Raw genomic sequence first — 19771 nt, forward strand, 5'->3', positions numbered from 1 at the left:
CCAGCCTGGGCAACATAGTGAGACCCCCATCTCTTAAAAAAATTAAACCAACAAACAGACCAGGGGCTTTGGAATCAAAAGGCTGTATGTTAGCTCTATGTCCTGGAGCAAATATTTAACTTCTCTGCACTGTTTCCTCATCCCTATCCAGAATGATAATGACACAAAGTTATTTTTTCTGGTTTCTTAAGAAGATTCAATACATGTTATTCCTGACACATGGCAGGCACTTGGTATGCTGGTGCCCTTCTCTTCTCCCAGACTCTCCATTCATCCTCAAAGCCTCCACATAATGCTGACTGTGGTATCTTGCATATAGCAGATGCTCACATATTTGCTTGTAAGAATTGCAAAAGAGCACTTAGCTAAAAATGCTTCTCTTTTATAACAGGTATGCATCCTTTGCCACCTCCATTAACAATGGTATTCACAAAGCCATTTCAACCATATATCACTGTTGGCTTCAAGAGGCATTGACAATGGGAAGAGAAGAGTGGGCAGGATTCTCTGAATGTGAATTCTGCAATTCCTCTGTGATTTTAGGAGATGGCCATTGCATGCTCATTAACAGTAACATCCTGCTAAAAAGCAGCTTAGTAGTTTTGGGGGTGATTCCAGAGGAATAAAGGAATTCCATGCAGCCTCCCTGGTGATTAAGGAGGGCACGAGCTATACTGGGGTAGCCAGAGGAATGTCTACAACTGTTTCTCTGTCTTTGGCCAACTCTTCCTCACGTATTAAAAGAAGCCTTCTCTGACTTTATCTCTTATAGCTTTTTCTTTTTCTTTTGAATAAGCAATACATATGATTCAAAACTCAAAACAACATAAAGTATACATTGAGGAATCTTTGTCCCATTCCTGTCCTTGTCTTTCTTTTTATTCCCTGAAGGTAAATGCTTTTATTACTTCCTTGTTCCTTCTAGAGTTTCTTTATACAGATGTAAACAAAACTGAATATGCATTATTATTTTACTCCCTTTCTTAAAATGAATGTGTACTCTATGTATTTTTGGTTGTGTGTGTGTCTGTGTATTTTACAGTGCTCTTTTTGCTTAACAGAATGTCAAGAGTATTGTTCCAGGTCAGTGCATAGAGAGCTTTCTCAGTCCTCATTACAGGGGCATGGTATCCATCGGAAGACGTACCATAGTTAATTTAACTATTTCCTTCTAACAGAGATTGGTAAACCAAGCCTTGAAAAGATGATCCCTGCCAGCCCTGTACTTACTGTACTATTTCATAAAAACATTTGGGCCTCTCACTAAAGCTGATAGGGTTCTTGAAAGTAGAGGCTGTGGTTTTATTTATATTTATATCCATAGCACCTCAGCAAAACCTGGAGATACAAGACAAAGCAAAAACAAGCATGATCCCTTCCTTCGTGGCAGGACTTACAACATGCAGGGAGAAATCATTGTTTTTGGAACTCACATCAATAAATACAGAACTATAGTTGTTGATAAGTTATATAAAGGAAAGTACAGGGGATTGTAAGAGCATAGACTAGGGTGATGTCTTTGGATCTGGTGTGAGAGATGTCAAGAAAGACTCCTTCATGAAGTTGATATTTGAACTAAGGACATGATGATAAGGGGCAGATAACAAGAGGTAGAGAAGGAGGAGAGGAAGATGTCATAGACAGAAGGAATAGCATACGCAAAGGCCCTGAGGTTGAAGGGAACACTGTGTATTTAGGGAAAGGGGAGGAAACCAACTTGGCTGAGCAGAGAGCATGACACATGGTAACACTGTAGAAGGAGACAGGCAAAAGCATTTAGGGCATTTGATCTTCCTCTGAGAGCAATGTGAGGCCATGTAAGGCTTTTAAGCAGGGGAGTGACATGGTCTGATTGATATTTTAAAACAGTCACTCTAGCCACCAGGGAAAAAACAGGCTGCAGGGTGGGAAGAGTCCAGAACTTGGAGTAGGGTGTTAATGATAGTGATGAAGAGGAGTCGACACACTTTGGAGATGTTACAAAGCAAACGTGACAGGTCTGTCGATGAACTGACCATCTGAGGTGTGATGAACAACTTCTAGGATGCTGGTGTCTAGAGAAATAGGATGAATAATGGCTCCTTCACTGATCTCAGAATTCCCAGAAGCCTAGATTTGGAGGAAAAGATCCTGAGTTCAACTTTTGACATGTTGAAGTTGAGGTCCCTTTTCTTTTGAGAAAATCAGGAGGAATCTGTAGGAAGTAAGATATACATCCTGGAGCTTAGAGGAGGGTTCTGAGCAGAGATGTGGGAGCCTTTGTGTGTAGGAGATAAATGAAGCGTTAGGGGTGGAGGAGATTCCCTAGGGAGAAGAAAGAGAATGCGACCTGAAGAGGGCCTAAGGTAAGCCTTGGGCCTCTCCTATGGTCAGTGGACAGGTAGAAGAGAAGGAGGAGGCGCAGCAACATGCATAGGAAAAAGGCAGCCAGGATCAAAGGGTGAAGACCAGGAGGGTGGTGCCATGGAAGCCAATGGAAAGAGATAGCACAAGGTGAACAGTAGGTGCCAATTGGTTGATGATCTTATGTGCAAGGCCATTCATCTTTCCTCCCACTAGTCCCACTTTCCATGTATTGGTTCATTGGGATCTGAAGGCTCTTCCTCTACAGGGAGGCAGGTGTGTAGAAGCCTTCTTTTTATCTGTCATTTTTAGTGTCCTTCTGAGCTAAAGGGTTGTGGTGAACTCTGTTTTCCTTTCACAGATGACTACAGTCATCTTTAGGTGACACATTAGTGTGGGTGACCTATACTTAGAAATGTGGTACATTTCAAAATGTATAAAGGGTTAGATAGCTCCTTCTCTGTGCTAAAACCAGGTAGTCTACACTAATTAGGTAAGAAAATAACCACATTCAGCCAAAGACATTGGGGAGCCATAGTTACAAAATATATTCCATCATTTTTATCTGTGTTTCCATATGATCACTACCCTTCAATTACATTTTTTATTTTTAGACCTAAAAATAGATCAGAAAGTTTTGCTTATCTTATTACATTTTCTAGAAAGACTTTATCAGATCTAGTCTTTTTAACTTTTTGTAGATTTATTCCATTTAAAATTAATTATTTCCTCTTCAGGATTCTGAAGAGAACATCAACTTTTTTTTTCAACCTGTATTTTCACAGAAGTAGAATCCAAAGGTACCTGCTTAGGATAGCTTTTCCCTTTAGCAGAAATAAACAGACTAGCTGAGCAGCAGAAAAATCACTCATTATGTTCCGAAAAATCACAAATAATTGTCTGATAGATTGCTTTATATACAATGACCTGCCTTCCTCCTTGCCTAAGCCTGAAAGTCTGTCTTTAAATTAGGTTAGGAAGGAGTTATTATTATTTAAGATGAGAAAGGGCCTAGGAAAGAGGAATGACAATGGATGGGAAGTCATCAAATGGATGTGAATTTGCAGTGTGATAGACAGGGGGAAAATGGAGGGAGAAAAGAGAGAGAAATGGCTTGGTGTTTCATTCACTCACAGAATCAGTTATGTCTTTGTCCATAACTAACATCTCAGAGAATCACACTCCTCTTAAAATGCCAGTTCTTTTCCTGGTATGTCAAGAGACATCGGCATTTAAATTCAGGAATCCTATTATATGATCTTACTACTCAGGTACTCACAAGTAGAATTTCATCTTTAAAATAGTCAAAAGAATTTTAGCCATATTTAGTCTTCCACGAAAGCCATAAAATGAACAATGCCAGTAACAATTATGAAACTAAATTGGCCTTATAAGAATAAAAAAATCAATTTTGCAAGTTTATATTCACAGTGACTAATTTCCATATAAATAATCTGACTTTTTCCAGTCTAAAAAATGTGCCTGTATTCTCTTGTTTTTTTATATTTACAATCCTTGAGATGTACTTAGGTGGAAATATTTGAAGGCACGTTGATATGTGTTGCAGTATTCTAATTCTAATTATTTCTCTCTCTCTCTCTCTCTTTTTTGGCAGTATATCAGTTACAGCAAGAGGCACCTCGTCCCAAGAGAATCATTTGTCCTCGGGAGGTCAGTGCTCAGCTATTTCCAATACACCTTGTTAAATATGATGAATTGTCAGCACTATGTAGAGAGTGGAGGGATTTCAGGTTTCCTGGGAGTTGATTTCTATTAACATTTGTTGGAGTGTCAAAAAATTTAACATCTTCATAATCTATATTTTGACATCAGACATTATTTAAAAAATACTAACAAACCAACTTGGACTCAGATGTCTCATATTTTTAACCATTGCCGAGACAAATTAAACAACCTTTGTAAACACCAAAAAATGTGTATTCTGGATGTTTTCTTTGTTAATATCCTTTTGATTCTTTTAGCATTTTTTATTATGAAATGCTTACAGTAGAGAAAGTACAGGGAATAATAAACTTCTGGGTACTTTCAACGCCCATATTTAGTAAATCTTTATGCTTTGTCATATTTATATGACATTTTAAAATAATAAAGCCTTACAAAAAAGTGATGAGGTTTTAATTCTAACTTTCCTTAGTTCACTAATCAGTTCTCTGATTGTGTGGGATGCCAGCAAGATTTGAAAGGCAGGACTAAGGCTCTATTTTCTTTTTATTCTGATCAGTTTCTTTAATAGCATACTTAATATCCTTCAAATCAAAGGCCCATGGGTCCTTGCTTACTTTTGCTATTAATGGGATTAAATATAGAGCCACGGATAGCTTTTAAAGTGCCATGCATGCCTTATCAAGGGGGAAAGGCTCCAATTCCAACACTCTTGAGATTCACTCTTGAACATTAGTACTTTTTGGATCTGGTTTTGAACCTGTTTCAAAGACTTAGGTACCTGCATACCCATACTCAGAGCCAAGTTATCATGGTTTAATACATTTTTCTACATAAAATTTTACATCTGTTGAAGGGCAATGAAATTTATCAAGTCATCTCAATTTTAGTACACAGTAGACTTTCTCATCCTAGGCATGTGGCTGGAGAGGAGGAAATATCTGGTGCTTAAGGAAAAATCCAGGATGAGTTCCATTTATTTGGTACTCTGATCTTGTCCTGTCACTAACTCTGCGGTCAATATATTCAAATAATATATTCAATAATATGTTATTTGTTATTCAATAATCAAATCCAATGATATTCAATATTTTTTCAAATGAGAGAAAATAGGTAAATATAAATTTTTGAATGAGATGCACTAAATAAGGGTGTTCTCAGTGTGAATTAAGACACAAGTTGCTAAAATTTCCTTCACTCCTGCTTTTTACTGAGTGTTTCTCCATCAGAAAAATTATTGCCATGTGTAAGGAGGTAGAGGAGTTTAAATGTCTCAATGAAAAAAAACTTTGTAAAATTAGAATACAACTAAAGACTCTATCTAGGGGCATTAATAAAAAGACACTGGGCAAGATCAGGCACCAGAACTTGAAATGCAAACAGATAGTAAATAGTCATTCATTTATCTGTTTATTCTGTAAATATATATGGAGAGCCTACTGTATTTCAGCTCTGGCCTTGTTGTGGGGAATATAGCAAAGAACTTGGCTATTGGCATTTTGAATATCATAATAAAAGACAACAAAAGTATGATGTAATTAAATATATATTTAAGATTTTGTCCCTGTATATGTATGTGCGTGTGAAAGAGACAGAAAAAGAGAGAGATAGAGAGAAAAAACCTCTCGGTTTCTCAAAATCCTTGGAACCATGTCAGTTGCCCTTAAGGCAGGTGGAGTGTTAGCAGTGGAGGTAGGCGATTCGGATTATCCTCTTACAAACTCTTCCTAGAGTTCCACTGAAACTCTTCAACCATCCAGCGGGCTGAGGGTCCACTGCATGTCTGTTTGCTGTTGCAGTGCCATCACCATCTGCTGTGACTAAAGAATATGGTGCCCATGTCTCTTGTTTCCCCCTTGTCTGACTGTTAAACCATGCTCTTCACCTTTTGACCTTACCAATTTGATATATTAGTAAGTGACATTGGTTGATGCTTGCTTTCCTCTAGAATTCCATATCCCATTTCTGCCACGAAACCTAACGTGAAATGGAGATTCATCAGCTCCCTTTCCTCAGCAGGCAGCATGGGGCCCATCTAGCCAGGCAGGTGTCAGATAGTAACAGGTCAAGTTTGCTGGAAGAACAGGTGCTGCTCAGATGAGTGTCTGCAGGAGTAGCTTCAGTTCCCTTTGTTCTCTAGTTGGTCCTCCAGTGTGATGTTAACTGCAGATAGTTCCTGCCTAAATTCCCAAGCCTCCCAGGAGTTGGCCTCCTGCAAGTGAAGGCGCCACTTTCTCTTGCATGATGGTGAAACAGTTTTCCCCTACTACAGACGGTGCTTAGTCATACGTCTTGTTGTCTTGTAACACACTTGCATGCTTGGGAGACATGCCTAATGAAGACAGAAAGCCTTTCTGTGTGAGTTTGTGGCCAGGGAGATTGAAGCTTTATTTACATATTTACATAAAGCAGTAAAGGCTGTTTATTTTAAACAATGAGTTATAATTTTTTCTACGTACGTTTTCCTATTACATCTCATCCGTTAGCTAAGAGCCCGCATCTTCCTCTTCTACGCAGCTCTGGGCCCTTTTTCTTGGTCTTCAATCTATCTCTTCCCAGCTACTCTTCCCTGGTCCCTAGCGTGGTAGCTCCAGTATACTCAATCTCTGTTGTTTCTCTGATGACTCATACTTTCCCGGGCCATGGGCCTCTCCCAGATTAGGACCTGCCAGTTCAACGTGATAAATACCCACATTAGAGCACCAAGCAAAGTGTGCAATTAGAGAGATGTGGAACAGTGTCCCTCTAAGGTATAGACGTAGGCCAGTCTGCCTTGATACATGGTGGTTATCAACAGATACCAACTACTTAGTAGACTTTGCTGCAGAGCTGGGTGAGTCAAGGGTACAGACTGATTCAGCAGGCAAAACCCACATACTTAGCAAATCCAGGAAAGCAGGGAGCTCAGCTGCAAAGTCAGCTTGGACTTGTTTTGACTTCTTGCTCCACCACTTTCTAGCTACCTAACACAGAGCCAACCACTTACTCTCTCAGGGAGATTAAGGCCTAACCTACAGATAAGCATCTACTTTGCAGGGTTGCTATAAATGGCATATGTGGGTCAAGTGTCCAATACAGTGCCTGCTGCATAATGGGTACTCAGTTAATGTTCATGATTCATGGCAGAGTCAGAAACCTGTGAAGAACAGGCTCTGAACTGGTCATTAAGGACAGAGTCGAAGTGATGACAGTATTCTCTGAATGTAAGGGTAAGAGGCAGTGATCAAGAAGAAAGCAAGATGCCCAGGTCCGGAATTAAGCAACCAGGAAAAAAGATACTGAGGATGAGGAACAGAAGGTACAAGCAGCTGAACAACAGCTCTGGCGCCAATTAAGCCAGGCAGGATCAGGTCGTGAAATAACAGTTCATTGCTTTCTTGAAGCTTTACTACTGCAAATTAATATTTATTGGGCAGCCGCAGCACCTGATGCTCTGCTGGCACTTCCTGAACACTCCATGCCGACAGATGCAAAACATCTTCCCATATGCAGAATTCTCACTGCTTTTTCCATCAACTATCAGTCAGTCACATCATAAGCATTTATTAGTTACCAAATGTGTGCCTGGGTTGTCTGTCACAAACTGTGTGGAATGTTGACTCTCAAATTTGTTTCTCTAGCCAAGACCTCTACCCGGGGCTCCAGACACCTCTATCCACCTGTCCACTGGACCTCCTCAGGCCACCACCTGTCTCACAGGCCACCACCAGCCTCATGTTCAGAATAGAACTAGGCCCCGCTCCATTGGATGACACCTAACTTCAGAAACCTGTACTTCTCCCTTCCCTACCCTCACCCCTTTCTCCTCCATTCTTAGCATCAAGTCTATCTCCAAATATATCTCGCATTGTCCACTGTACTCTATCCCCATGAATGTTGTGTGGTTTGGGCCATTGTCATTTCTTGCCTGGATTTCATTGCAGGTAAAGAGCCTCCCACCTGATCTCCCTGCTTCCACTCCTTGCAGCTTCCCTGCAGCTCACATATACACACACACATACACACTCCAGTCACCAGACAGGAGCCCAAATCATCATCGTTAAATATAAATTAGACCCTTCAATAGCTTTCTGTTACTCTTAGTAACAAATTTCTTGCCGTGCCTATGAGCCATAGTTTGCCTCCTGTGTCTGTCACTGCCCTGTCTGTACCATTCTTCTCCAAGTGCACTGCCTTTTAGCCCCACTAGATTCTATTCCCATTCATTAAAAAAAAAGAAAGAAAGAAAAAGAAAAAAGCACTGTCACTATCACTGGGCCTTTGCACTTGCCCTTTGCCTGAAATTCTCAGACCCAGGTTCTCTGCACGTCTAGGTTTCAGGTCAAATTTCACGTAATAAGAGGCCCTTCCTAAACTCCATAAAAAAGTAGCACCTCCCCAACCCTTGGAGCGTCTCTGTCATATTGCCTTGTTTATTGTATCTGTGGCACTTTATATACTCTCTGATACACTTTCTTAACATATTTGATTGTTGCTTGTATATGCCTCTCCAGGAGAATACAACCTCCAGAGACTTCATCAGTCTTAATCATAGATATATCCTTAGCAGTGAGCATAGCCAAGCAACAGTGGGGAATCAGTAAATAAATCAGTAAGTTTCAAAATGATGAAAAAAAAGGATAGCGATTGCTAGCATAAGGAATTTGGGATTCTCAAACTATTACTAATAGCATATCAGATTTACTCAATGCTGTTATTAGGATAGTGAGCTAGACTTTTGGCAGTTGTTAAGGTACTAACTTAAACACAGACTAAAATTTTTTCCTGGACTAATCCAAGTTTCTTCTTGGCCTCTCCAAAAGGCCAAAATGGCAAGATTTACTTGTGTGACTCATTGAAAGTCAAGTTGCCCTAAAATTACCTCAAGCCTACACTAAATAAGCAGAAGTTCTTTTGTGACTGTAAATGATTTGGTGTCATTTGTCTTTTTTGAAATCGCTATAGTGAATATGGGATTATAAAAAGCAATTTCAAAAAAGGGAAATACAATGGCATACTATTATTTCAAGTTGTTCTCCATTTTATATAGCTTCATTTCCTTCTTGCTGTGGAATAGTCTATTTTGGAAAACTTTTTTAATGCAAAAATGGATGGTAGAGATTTCTAGCATTCATGATCAGAATCAGCTTTTTTCTTGATGGTCAGAAGTTAGACCAAGTACTGATGGCAGTGGCCAATCTTTTTTTTTTTTCTGAGGTGGAGTCTTGCTTTGTCGCCCCCGAGCTGGAGTGCAGTGGCGCTATCTTGACTCACCGCAATCTCTGCTTCCCAAATTCAAGCGATTCTCCTGCCTCAGCCTCCTGAGTGGCAGGGATTACAGGTGTACCCCACTGCACCTGGCTCATTTTTTTTTTAAGTAGACACAGGCTTTTACCATATTGGCCAGGCTGGTCTTGAATTCCCAACCTCAGGTGATCTGCCTGCCTCAGCCTTCCAAAGTGCTGGGATTATGGGCATCAGCCACCACGCCCGGCCGGCAGTGGCCAATCTTAAGTTGGAGTAGTATCTCACTACCTTATTTTACCTTCCAGTGAATTGTATTCATTTTTTAAACACTGCTTAAGTATTCCTACCCTCTTTTATGCAGTTTTCCCTAGTTTTTGGTGTTCTAAATATCTACTGATTTTACTCTTTTCTATCTTTATTTCTAAAAACTGTTCCTGTAAACCTTCGAAAGCATTCCATTTCTTCATTATGCTTTTTAAAATTGTATTAATCATATCTAGACTTCACAATCTTGTAGCTCGAGGACATTTATCTTGTCTTAGGCACGTCTGGAAGATCTTAACAGGCCATATTGATTGACCATATCATTTTCAACTAACTCAGTACATTTTGAATCACAGATTTTAAATGAACTCTAAGGGATTTTCTACCATTCCACAGTTCTCCCCCTTTTCTTCTTTTATTTATTGAAATAAATGTTTTAAAACAAAGTGCATTTGGGGGAACGTGAAAACTCTACTGATTTAAGACATCTCGACAAGGTATGTCTTAAAGTAATGAGATTGATTCTACAAGCCACAAACAAAAATCAATCTCATTACCTTTTAATTGGCTTTATGTGTAGTAATCAGAAGGCTATTTCTTCCCTTGCAGAAAAACTATTCCTTTTCTTTTCATCCTAGACTTTCTCTGCTTGTCTCTTTTTTTCCCCCTTAATGCCGACACAATCAAGAATGAAGGACTTTCCCATCATTATTCCTCCACGCTGTCATCTCACTCACTGATGCTGTCAGGCCTTTTTCTTGATGCAGTTTTCTTCTGAACTGGACTTGCTTTGGGTTTAGACCTGATGTAGTACAGGGGAAAAATCTAGTAACACCAATGTTAGAAATAAAATTTTGACATATGAATTTTTTTCCCTAAAGATAGAACCAAATGTTTTCTGCTTTTTTTTTAAAAACAAAAAACTTTCTTTTTTATTGACAAGTACTGTGATCTACCAAAGTGCATACTCCCCCTGCCTCCAAATTCACTCTCTTTGGAATACTTTGAACTTCTTCTAAAATAATACAGATCCCCGCAAGTATGCACCTAGAACATATTTAGACATTTCCAAGGTGAGGTCATAAGCGCTTGGGTAAGGGCTGTTGAGACCAAGCTGTTATGGAGTTCAGAGCCAAGGGGAGCAGGTGAGGTGAGCTGGAGAGGGCCACCAGAGAACAGTACATATGCCAAGACATAAGATGAGGCAAAAGTAGAATGAGGAAAGTAAATGGGAAATTAAACAGTGATTGATAATAGGCAAAGTTTCCGGAGAAGATTCTTCAATCTCTCTGGGTGATTTTTATTTCTTTATTTCCTTCCTTCCTTCCTTCCTTCCTTCCTTCCTTCCTTCCTTCCTTCCTGCCTCCCTCCCTCCCTTTCTCCCTTTCTCCCTTTCTCTCTTTCTTTTTTTTTTTTGACGGAGTTTCGCTCTCGTTGGCCCAGGCTGGAGTGCAATGGCGCGATCTTGGCTCACCGCAACCTCCGCCTCCCAGGTTCAAGCGATTCTTCTGCCTCAGCCTCCCTAGTAGCTGGGATTACAGGCATGTGCCACCACACCCAGCTAAATTTTTTGTATTTTTAGTAGAGATGGGGTTTCTCCATATTGGTCAGGCGGGTCTTGAACTCCTGACCTCAGGTGATCCACCCGCCTCAGCCTCCCAAAATGCTGGGATTACAAGCATGAGCCACCGTGCTCGGCCCTTTTTTTTTTTTTTTTTTTTTTTTTTTTGACGGAGTCTTGCTCTGTGGCCCAGGCTGGAGTGCAATGGCATGATCTTGGCTCACTGCAACCTCCACCTCCTGGGTTCAAGCCATTCTCCTGCCTCAGCCTCCCGAGTAGCTGGGATTACAGGTGCCCACCACGCCCAGCTAATTTTTGTATTTTTAGTAGAGACAGGGTTTCACCATGTTGGCTGGACTGATCTTGAACTCCTGACCTCAAGTGATCCACCCGCCTCGGCCTCCCAAAGTGCTGGGATTACGGGCGTGAGCCACCGCACCTGGCTGATTTTTATTTCTTAACATCTCACTTGAAAAGGTATATTCCCTTAATTAGTAGAGTTGGAATACTATGTGGTATTGTTCATTGTTTTAGAAAAAAAGAACTGATAGCATCGTGTGTTACAACATGTGTTCTGCCATCCTCCTCTAGCCTATGACAGCTGGAACCCAAGATCCCATTACTCATTGATCTCAGGTGGTGGTGGTAGTGAGAGTGTGGATCCAAACTGAGACACAATTGTTATGCGGAGGTACTGGCTTTTGTAACACCAACCTTACTCATCCAAACACAGAGCAAATGTCACACCTCCATAGGAGTTGCTACCTACAGCAGCCCCATATTAAGTCTGCTCTGTGACTCAGAGGTCAGGCCCCACAAGTTTTGGGGTGTAACCAGGGTTATCCAGGAAAAGGAGCAGGTGCATAATGCTGGAGCTATAGTGAGGATTTAAAGACATGCTTCACATTTTGCTCACCTGGTTAAACTGTAACTGAGAAATAATGCTGATAAAGGCAGGTTATACTTTGCTCCAGATAAGCCATGTCTCCTACTGGCGTGTGGCCTGTCCAACCAAGCACTGAGAGGCTTGGACGTAGATTTCTGACCTTGATTCTGCTTTCCATTGGAAAAAATGTGGATGATGCAATCTCAGACAGCCTCAATTTTAATATGACTATGCTGAATGATATTACCTAATTATTTACTTGTTGTCAGTCTTTTAATAGAAATGACAGCTATCACATATGGAGTACTTCCTGTGCCCTGAGCACCGGCTTCAGAGTTTTATGGATGCTACGCCCACCACAATCCCATGGGGCTTGTTATCCCTCTCACTTTACACAGGAGGAAATGAGACAGGAAGCACAAGAGGGGCAAAGGCCAGATTCCAACCCAGATAGTTCATATCAATGGCTGGGCTTCTAATCCAGTGAGTCACGGAGTGTGATCCCAGCATCAGCTGGGAACAGGTGAGAAATGCAGGTTCTGTGGCCCATCCCACACCTGAATTACAAACCCTGGAGATGGGGCCCAGCAATCTGTGTTTTAGCGAGCTCTTCAGGGGATTCTGATGCCGCCTTGGGTGTGAGAACTACTGTTCTAAGGACTGTTCTTGCTTCTCTCTGCTTTCTATTTCATCCTTCCTCCCTAATCCCTTAGGATAGAAGACTCAAGATGCTTTTGCCTCCTGGTAATGCTTGCTATTTGCTCAGCACTTGTGCTAGACTATTCACGGATTTCAGTGTAGGCACCCATAGCCTTCCTTATTTTTCCCAGATGTACTTCCTCCCAGATGTTATTTTCCACCCTTTAAAAATATTTTGTCTTTCTTCTTTGCTATTTCTAACTTTCCTGTACTCTTTTATGTTGCAGAGACCAAATGTGAATCCTGCTTGTAAGGGTGGGGTCAGTACTTGATTAAGCCTGATCTCCTCCCTCTACCCTCCATTTTCTGGTATTATACTTCTAATGTTATGTTTGTGTTACTAATTAACAAAGCTATTTCAAATTCAGGTTTTTTTGTTTGCTTGTTTGTTTTATTTTGTTTGTTTATTTGAGACAGAGTCTCACTCTGTTGCCCAGGCTGGAGTGTAGTAGCATGATCTCGGCTCACTGCAACTTCCGCCTCCCAGTTTCAAGCCCCCTGCCTCAGCCTCCCTAGTAGCTGGGATTACAGGCATCTGCCACCATGCCTGGCTAATTTTTGTATTTTTAGTAGAGACGGGGTTTCACCATGTTGGCCAGGCTGGTCTCAAACTCCTTACATCAGGTGATCCATCTGCCTCAGCCTCCCAGAATGCTGGGATCACAGGCGTGAGCGACCACGCCCCGCCTCAAATTCAGTCTTAATATGATGATTCATGTTCATTCATATTCAGCATATACTATTATGAATTCCAGCTCTTTTGGGATCTTTTAGGTGTTTTCCTTATCTGTGGCTATGCATGAATCCTTGCTAGATTTCCTTCTGGTTTTAATGTCCTCTTGCCTTAATGAAAATACTAAATTCATTATCGTATGTCAGAAATGCTTTAATTGCATTTGTTTTCCAAGATGCTAGTTTCTTCACTCAGTCCATCCTCTGTGTGCTTAATGAGCATTTCTCAATTCAGGATTTTAGATAACGAATTTGCTAATAAAAGCCAGTCCAGAGCAGGTGGTTTGGGCAAGGCCCACCTCCTTGCCTCAGTCTACCACTCGCCTGGCATCTGGCTGATGCTGACTGAGCCATTGGTAATAATCTTCTTTGGCTATGTCCTTTAGCAAATCACAGTCTCACTTGACATTAGTTCTAAGTACACCATGTCTCTGTCTTGTTGGACGGAAAAGCAAGCTCTGCTTCAACGATAGTATCTTTTTCTTTCTCCTTATTTACATGGCCAGTGTCATTTCCTCATCTTCTGTGGAAAGAAATTAAATAGCCTTGGCACAGCCCAACAAAGGCATATTTGGTTGCCATCCAGCACCTTGCGTCCTTCTAGGTAATTACACATCGATTGTTTGATGAATGTTCTTGGATCTCCCTGGGTATTTCTACCAAGTCTGTAATTACACTACTCTGGTTGTCCTTTTGCTCTGTCATGGTTCTCAGGGTTCCATGGCTTCTCAAAGACCAGGCTTAATGATGTTTCATCAACACCTTTCAAGTCAAGGATGCAGCTCAGACTCCTTAGTGTTTCATTAGTCTCAGTTGCTTAAAAATGTAATTCAGCCATTTTCTACCTCAGTTCATTGTGATTTCTTAAGTTGGCATCAGTATGCCGTAGCTTAAAAATTAATGATTCTCTCCTCCCAGTGCATTAAAAGATGAAAGAGCATGAACAAGGAATGATTTGACCCACCATTAAATAAAAAGGCCTTTGAGGCATTGGCAAGCTCTGTGTTTTGAGCTAAGAATAAGAGGTCCTGAAACTGGTTTTTGGAGAATGGACTCTCATGCTTTTTCGTCTAGCATAGGCGTTGGTCAGCTATATCCTGGAGACTGTTTTGGTAAATAAAGTTTTATTAGAACGCAGCAGTACTCATTCTGTTATATATTATCTGTGGCTGCTTTCATGCTACCATGGCAGAGCTGAGTACTTGAGACAGAAACTATATGATCCCAAACCTAAGATATTTACTTTATAGCCCTTGCTAGAAAAAAGTTTGCCGACCCCTGGTCTTACACTAAAAGTAACTTTAAAGAGTGAGTTAGGCCACGCGCGGTGGCTCATGCCTGTAATCCCAGCACTTTGGGAGGCCGAGGCAGGCAGATCACGAGGTTAGGAGATCGAGACCATTCTGGCCAACATGGGGAAACCCCATCTTTATTGAAAATATGAAAAATTAGCTGGGTGTGGTGGCACATGCCTGTAGTACCAGCTACTCAGGAGGCTGAGGCAGGAGAATCGCTTGAACCCAGGAGGCGGAGGTTGCAGTGAGCCGAGATCGCACCACTGCACTCCAGCCTGGAGACAGAGCGAGACTCCGTCTCGAAAGAAAGAAAAAGAAAAAGAGTGGGTTAATATACATAAAGCACTTAGAACAGTGCCTGACATTTATTTATCAGAAGCATTGGTCTTTAATTTCTACCATCTCCCAAGTACTACATAAATGTTAGTGGAAAAAAAAGGAGTTTCAGCCTTGGAATTTAGGATGAATTTGATCCCAAGCCATGTTGAGAGATGACTTGGCCTTCATGTTTAACATGCATAAATTAATGAAAGAGGCCAAAGCAGTTACAAGACGCAGGTGTTCTTTGACCTTCTTTCTGATGGTCACTTTCTCCACTTCAAGAGATGGAAGCCTGTTAGCAAAGGTGGCACAGCACTCCATCAGCAGGAAGTTAAAGGGGTGCGTGGGATCTGTTTATTTGGTAGCAACATCTGAACATGGAAGCTAAACTGACTTAAATTTCAGGAACAAAGCTGGTGTTAGCCTCCTATATGTTCTTGAATTCTGATTAATAATTTGTATGCCAATGCCTTTGAGGAAAGAGTGCTACATCTGCAGTTAACTCTGAAGTCTATTTTTTAAAAGTTGGATTGATGGATGGATAGAGGAATGAAAAAATATATATGCTGTAAAGCAAGAATAGTAAAAATGCTGTAGAACCTAGATGATGTGTATATGGGTGTTTACTGTAAAAGTCTTTCAACTTTTCTGTATGTATGAAAATTTTCATTATAAAACGTCAAGAAGAAAAAATGAAGACTGTGTGAGAAGAGTGGCAGGATGTGCTCTGGCCCATGGAACAAAGACATTCTCTTGGGTGCACAGCCCTGACAGGTGGGAGGATGACTTGGCATGAGAGCTGTCGAAAACACTATAAGCCATGCTCAAGAATTTTTAATGTGGAATAGAGAACTTTTCTGAAAAAGCATAGTTGAAAGCAAGGACAAGCATTAATAAGGCACTTCTACTCTTTTATTTATTACCATGTTGGGAATTATTTTGGGAGGAGTGCTTGCTTCAGAAATGCTAAAGTAGGTAATTTGTAAAAAAAAAATTAATAGAGAACAGGCTTCTGGATTTTATGTAATCATTACAATATAGAGCAATGAGTGCTGGCCCTGATATCAGGAATTGGGTTTTAACTCTGAATCTGCTGCTATCCCTGGGCAGGACTGTGGGCAAATTAGTTAATCACTCTGAACTGCAGCTTCCTTGTCTATAAGAAGAAGGCAAAGATACAATTCCACCCTCCTGGTGGGAGAATATATGTAAAAGCATTCTGAAGGTCATGACGTTATCAGTGAACAATGAGTTCTCAAAGGGGGCAATATCACCCCTAAAGTGGAGAAATTTGGTTCTTACCAAAAAAAAAACCCTTACTATTTATATGTATAAAGCACAAATACCTATATAGAACATAAACAGATATACAGTCTATATGTAATATTAAAATTCCTTTGTGGGGAGGTGCTTGAGAGAAAACCTGTCTAAAAAGGCTCCTTAGGGAGCTATAATGCAAAAACAGACAAGCCTTGAATTTCTACCATCTCCCAGATTCTGTTCTCCTTTCTTTTTCTTTAGGTAGATTAATTTTATCCATCACTTTGAATACTTAATACTCTTACATTTCTAGGAGAGAGAGAAAAAAGTAACTTCTGGGAGAAAACTAAGAATGATAGACACTTTGCCTTTTCCAAAGTACGTATAGTACCACTTAACCCAAATACCATTAAGCTTTGATGGAAGGAATTTACTAACAAGAGTGAGGAATTAAATGAGTATACTCACCCAATCTTTTTTCCTCTAGAAATTTAACAGCAGCATGAGTTTTCCCTTGATTTGATTCAGTTCTGTTGGGTACTTCAAGCTCTTTGGGCTTAAAAGGTATGTGGAGAATTTAAAGAGAGTTTGGAGGAGAATAATGAAGATGAATTAAGGATTGGAAATTGGGACCTATTAGAAAAGGTCAAAGGCACAAGGATTATTTAGTTTGAGGAAGAACAGGCGATCTAGTGGCACAGAGATGGCTTTTAATAATGGAAGCCTTATTCTGTAGAGAATATTCTCAGATTCTCATTTGCACTGAAGACCAAAAGAAAGGAAGATGCATAATTGGAAGCTGGAGGAACATAAGATTAGATGTGAAGATAACATTTATCTTCATGATTAAATTCTGGATTTTGAGTCTCCTTTACAGTATTTCTTATTTTAAAGTAAAATCCCTGTTTGGTCGATCAGAAGTGTGGACAAGTCAGCCCATCATGTTTGATTCTCTGGCCCTGGTTGGGAGGTCAGCCAGCCAGCCCAGCCAACATGGCCTCCTGGGGATCTGGCTTGATGGGAGAAAACATTCATTTCACCTGGACCTGTGGCTCCAGGATGCCAAAGATGAGTACAAAAAACTCTAGCCAACAGAGTGCCAGGCTCGTGCCAGAAAAGTATGCCTAATTGGGTTGTCCAAACAAGGAGGGCCTAAGGCAGATTTTGAGAGCCAACATATGGAGCCAAGGAATCACGGTGCCAAAGAAGATGTAGCAAAGAAGAGTGGGTGAAAGTGAGCTGCTGGGAAGAAGGGCTGGATAGAGGAGTGCCACTCATGGCTGGGCTTTTGGGTGTTCCTGGAAGCCCACTGTGAGAATGGATCAAAATCAATGGGAAGGTGCTGCCAAGGTGTCCTAAGCTTCTAGGATAATATTTATTCTCTCAGGGTTTTGGAACTGCTGCCCAAAGTCATAGTTCTCAGTCCTGGGTGTGAGTCAGAATCACCTGTGGAGCCTGGCAAACCTTACAGACACCCTGGCTCCAGCCCTGGAGATTTTGATTTAATGGAAATATCACTTAGAATTCTATTGTAAGCAATAAAAGTCTATTCTCACTAAACTAAGCAAAAAAAAAAAAAAAAAAAAAAAAAAAGCAGGGCCTAGGAGGGCGGACCAATTGTGGTTAGAAGGATATGAGGAAATTCCCTGGATGGAAAGAAAAGCTGGTCAGAGGGCTTGAGAAAGGATTTGAAGCAAGACTGACAGACCTTGGGCAATAAGAGGTGATGGTTAGCGTCAGAGTTCCAGGGTAGTCCAACCTGCCCTTTGCACCTTGCTTCTCTGTGCCTCAGTTAGTCCTCTGGAAATGGATATAACTGATCTTACCTCTTGGGTAATCATGAGGATCGACAGGGTTGATATATGTAAAGAAAGTGCTTAGAACAATGCCTGGTACATAAGTTCTCAATAACTATTAATGATTATTGTTGTTATTAGGCTCTGCCATGCATGTGAATCAACTCTTAACAGTTTCATTTAATGGTTTCTACTCAAGTCTCAAATTCCAGGGGCAGAGCATCTGGGTGGCTTATGTTGGTTCACATGTTCACCCTCTAAAGAATGTGAGGGACTTCGATTAGCAGAATCACTGGCTCGAAGTCACAGTTGTTGCCTGTGGTCTTCAGTCTTCACTCTGGAGATTCAGAAAGCAGACAGGGGAACAAGTTTTGTCCCGTAGCTTGGAAGCATAAAGCATCAAGGTGTGAGCTACCACCAATGCCAGTCTTTCCATGGATACCCCTTTTGAAATTTCAGTGAGCCCCAGAAAGGGATCTGGGAGCATAAGCAAACCTGCCTTTCACTTATTGTGTTATGCCATGAGGCTGAGCTCTGTGAACACCGTGAGCAATATGCTGGGACAGCAGAGGTGAAGAAACAGGAGCCCTTCCCTCAAGGAGCTCACATTGAGAGCTCATAAAAGCCAACAATCCCAATCCCAGTAAGATCGCCACGGCCCTAACTCAGGCCTTTTATAAAGTTCAGAGGCAGGAGACTTCCCCAGGATGGCAGCATTTCAGCTCTTACTTTTAAATTAAATCAGTGAGATTTTGCCAGGCTAAGGCATAGAGAGACTGAAGAACAAATATTAGAATTCCAGGCAGAGGACATAACCCCACCAAATAATATCCTAGAAGTATGAGCAGCCGAGGGTGTGCTTCAGAAACTACAGAAGCTATGTATGAGGAACATGAAGAACTGAGGGGTGAGGATGTCGTGGGGCAAGAGCATGTGTGTCAGTAAGAACATATTCTGGACACACAAGCAAGGACCATCCAGGGAAGATCCTAGATGCTATTCATGTGTTCATCCAGTAAATACGTATTGAGCCCTTGGGAAGGGCCAGGACTGTTTTAGACTCTAGAGATATAGCAGTAAGCAAAGCACAGTAATCTTTGCCCTTATATAGTTTCCATTTGAATGGAAGATATTGGCAAAAAAATGTATTCATCAGAGTTCTTCAGAGAAATAGAACCAATTGTATGTGTGTGTATGTGTGTGTGTGCGTATGTGTGTGTTGCAGGTGGTGTAGTTGGAAGGCCTGAGAGCTCTCGAGCTGATGGTGTTGATTCCAGTCTGGGTCTGAAGGTCTAAGAACCAAGAATACCAAGGGCAGGAGAAGATCGGTGTTCCTGCTCTAGCAGTCAGGAAGAGGGAGCATGAATACAACCTTCCTCTGCCTCTTTGTTTTATTCAGGCCCTCAATGGACAGGATAGTACTGACACACACTGGGGAGGGCCATCTTCTTTACTCAGTCATTGAGTCAAAGGCTAATCTCTTGGAGAAACACCGTCCCAGACACAACCAGAAATAATGTTTGTCAGATATCTGGGAATCCCGTGGCCCCCACAAGTTGACACATAAAATTGATCATCATAACACATAAGTAAAATATATAGTATATCAGATGATGATAAATGTCATGGGGAAAAAATATTCCAGAAAAGAAGGATGGAGTATGCCAAGGAGGGGAGTTACCACTTTTAAGGAGGGTGGTCTGGG

General features: G+C 41.1%; 1 protein-coding gene across 13 annotated transcripts in view, besides 1 other annotated feature; it reads left to right on the top strand.

Moving 5' to 3' along the window:
- CHN2 (chimerin 2) overlaps positions 1 to 19771 on the top strand; it is a 367738-nt gene that overhangs the window by 217383 nt on the left and 130584 nt on the right. For 11 of the 13 annotated variants that reach the window (XM_011515105.3, XM_011515106.3, NM_001398427.1 and 8 more), the window contains one exon: positions 3959 to 4014. The exons of 1 other annotated variant lie outside the window; for it this stretch is intronic. Coding sequence is in view for 6 of the 12 variants with exons in the window: in XM_017011722.2 (XP_016867211.1) it covers positions 3959 to 4014 (56 nt within the window). In the remaining 6 variants the exon portion in view is untranslated. Of the gene's footprint in view, positions 1 to 3958; positions 4015 to 12420; positions 12487 to 19771 lie in introns of those variants that run through there. One more of the 13 variants, XM_047419842.1, reaches the window with a different exon arrangement.
- Positions 10518 to 11024: an enhancer, noted in NCBI's record as "H3K4me1 hESC enhancer chr7:29414107-29414613 (GRCh37/hg19 assembly coordinates)". NCBI's record gives its function as "activates a minimal SCP1, AML or CMV promoter by ChIP-STARR-seq in primed H9 embryonic stem cells {active_cell/tissue: H9 hESC(primed)}" and the evidence as "EXISTENCE:reporter gene assay evidence [ECO:0000049][PMID:30033119]".

The sequence above is a fragment of the Homo sapiens genome, chromosome 7, assembly GCF_000001405.40.
Source record: "Homo sapiens chromosome 7, GRCh38.p14 Primary Assembly".
Classification (NCBI taxonomy): domain Eukaryota; kingdom Metazoa; phylum Chordata; class Mammalia; order Primates; family Hominidae; genus Homo; species Homo sapiens.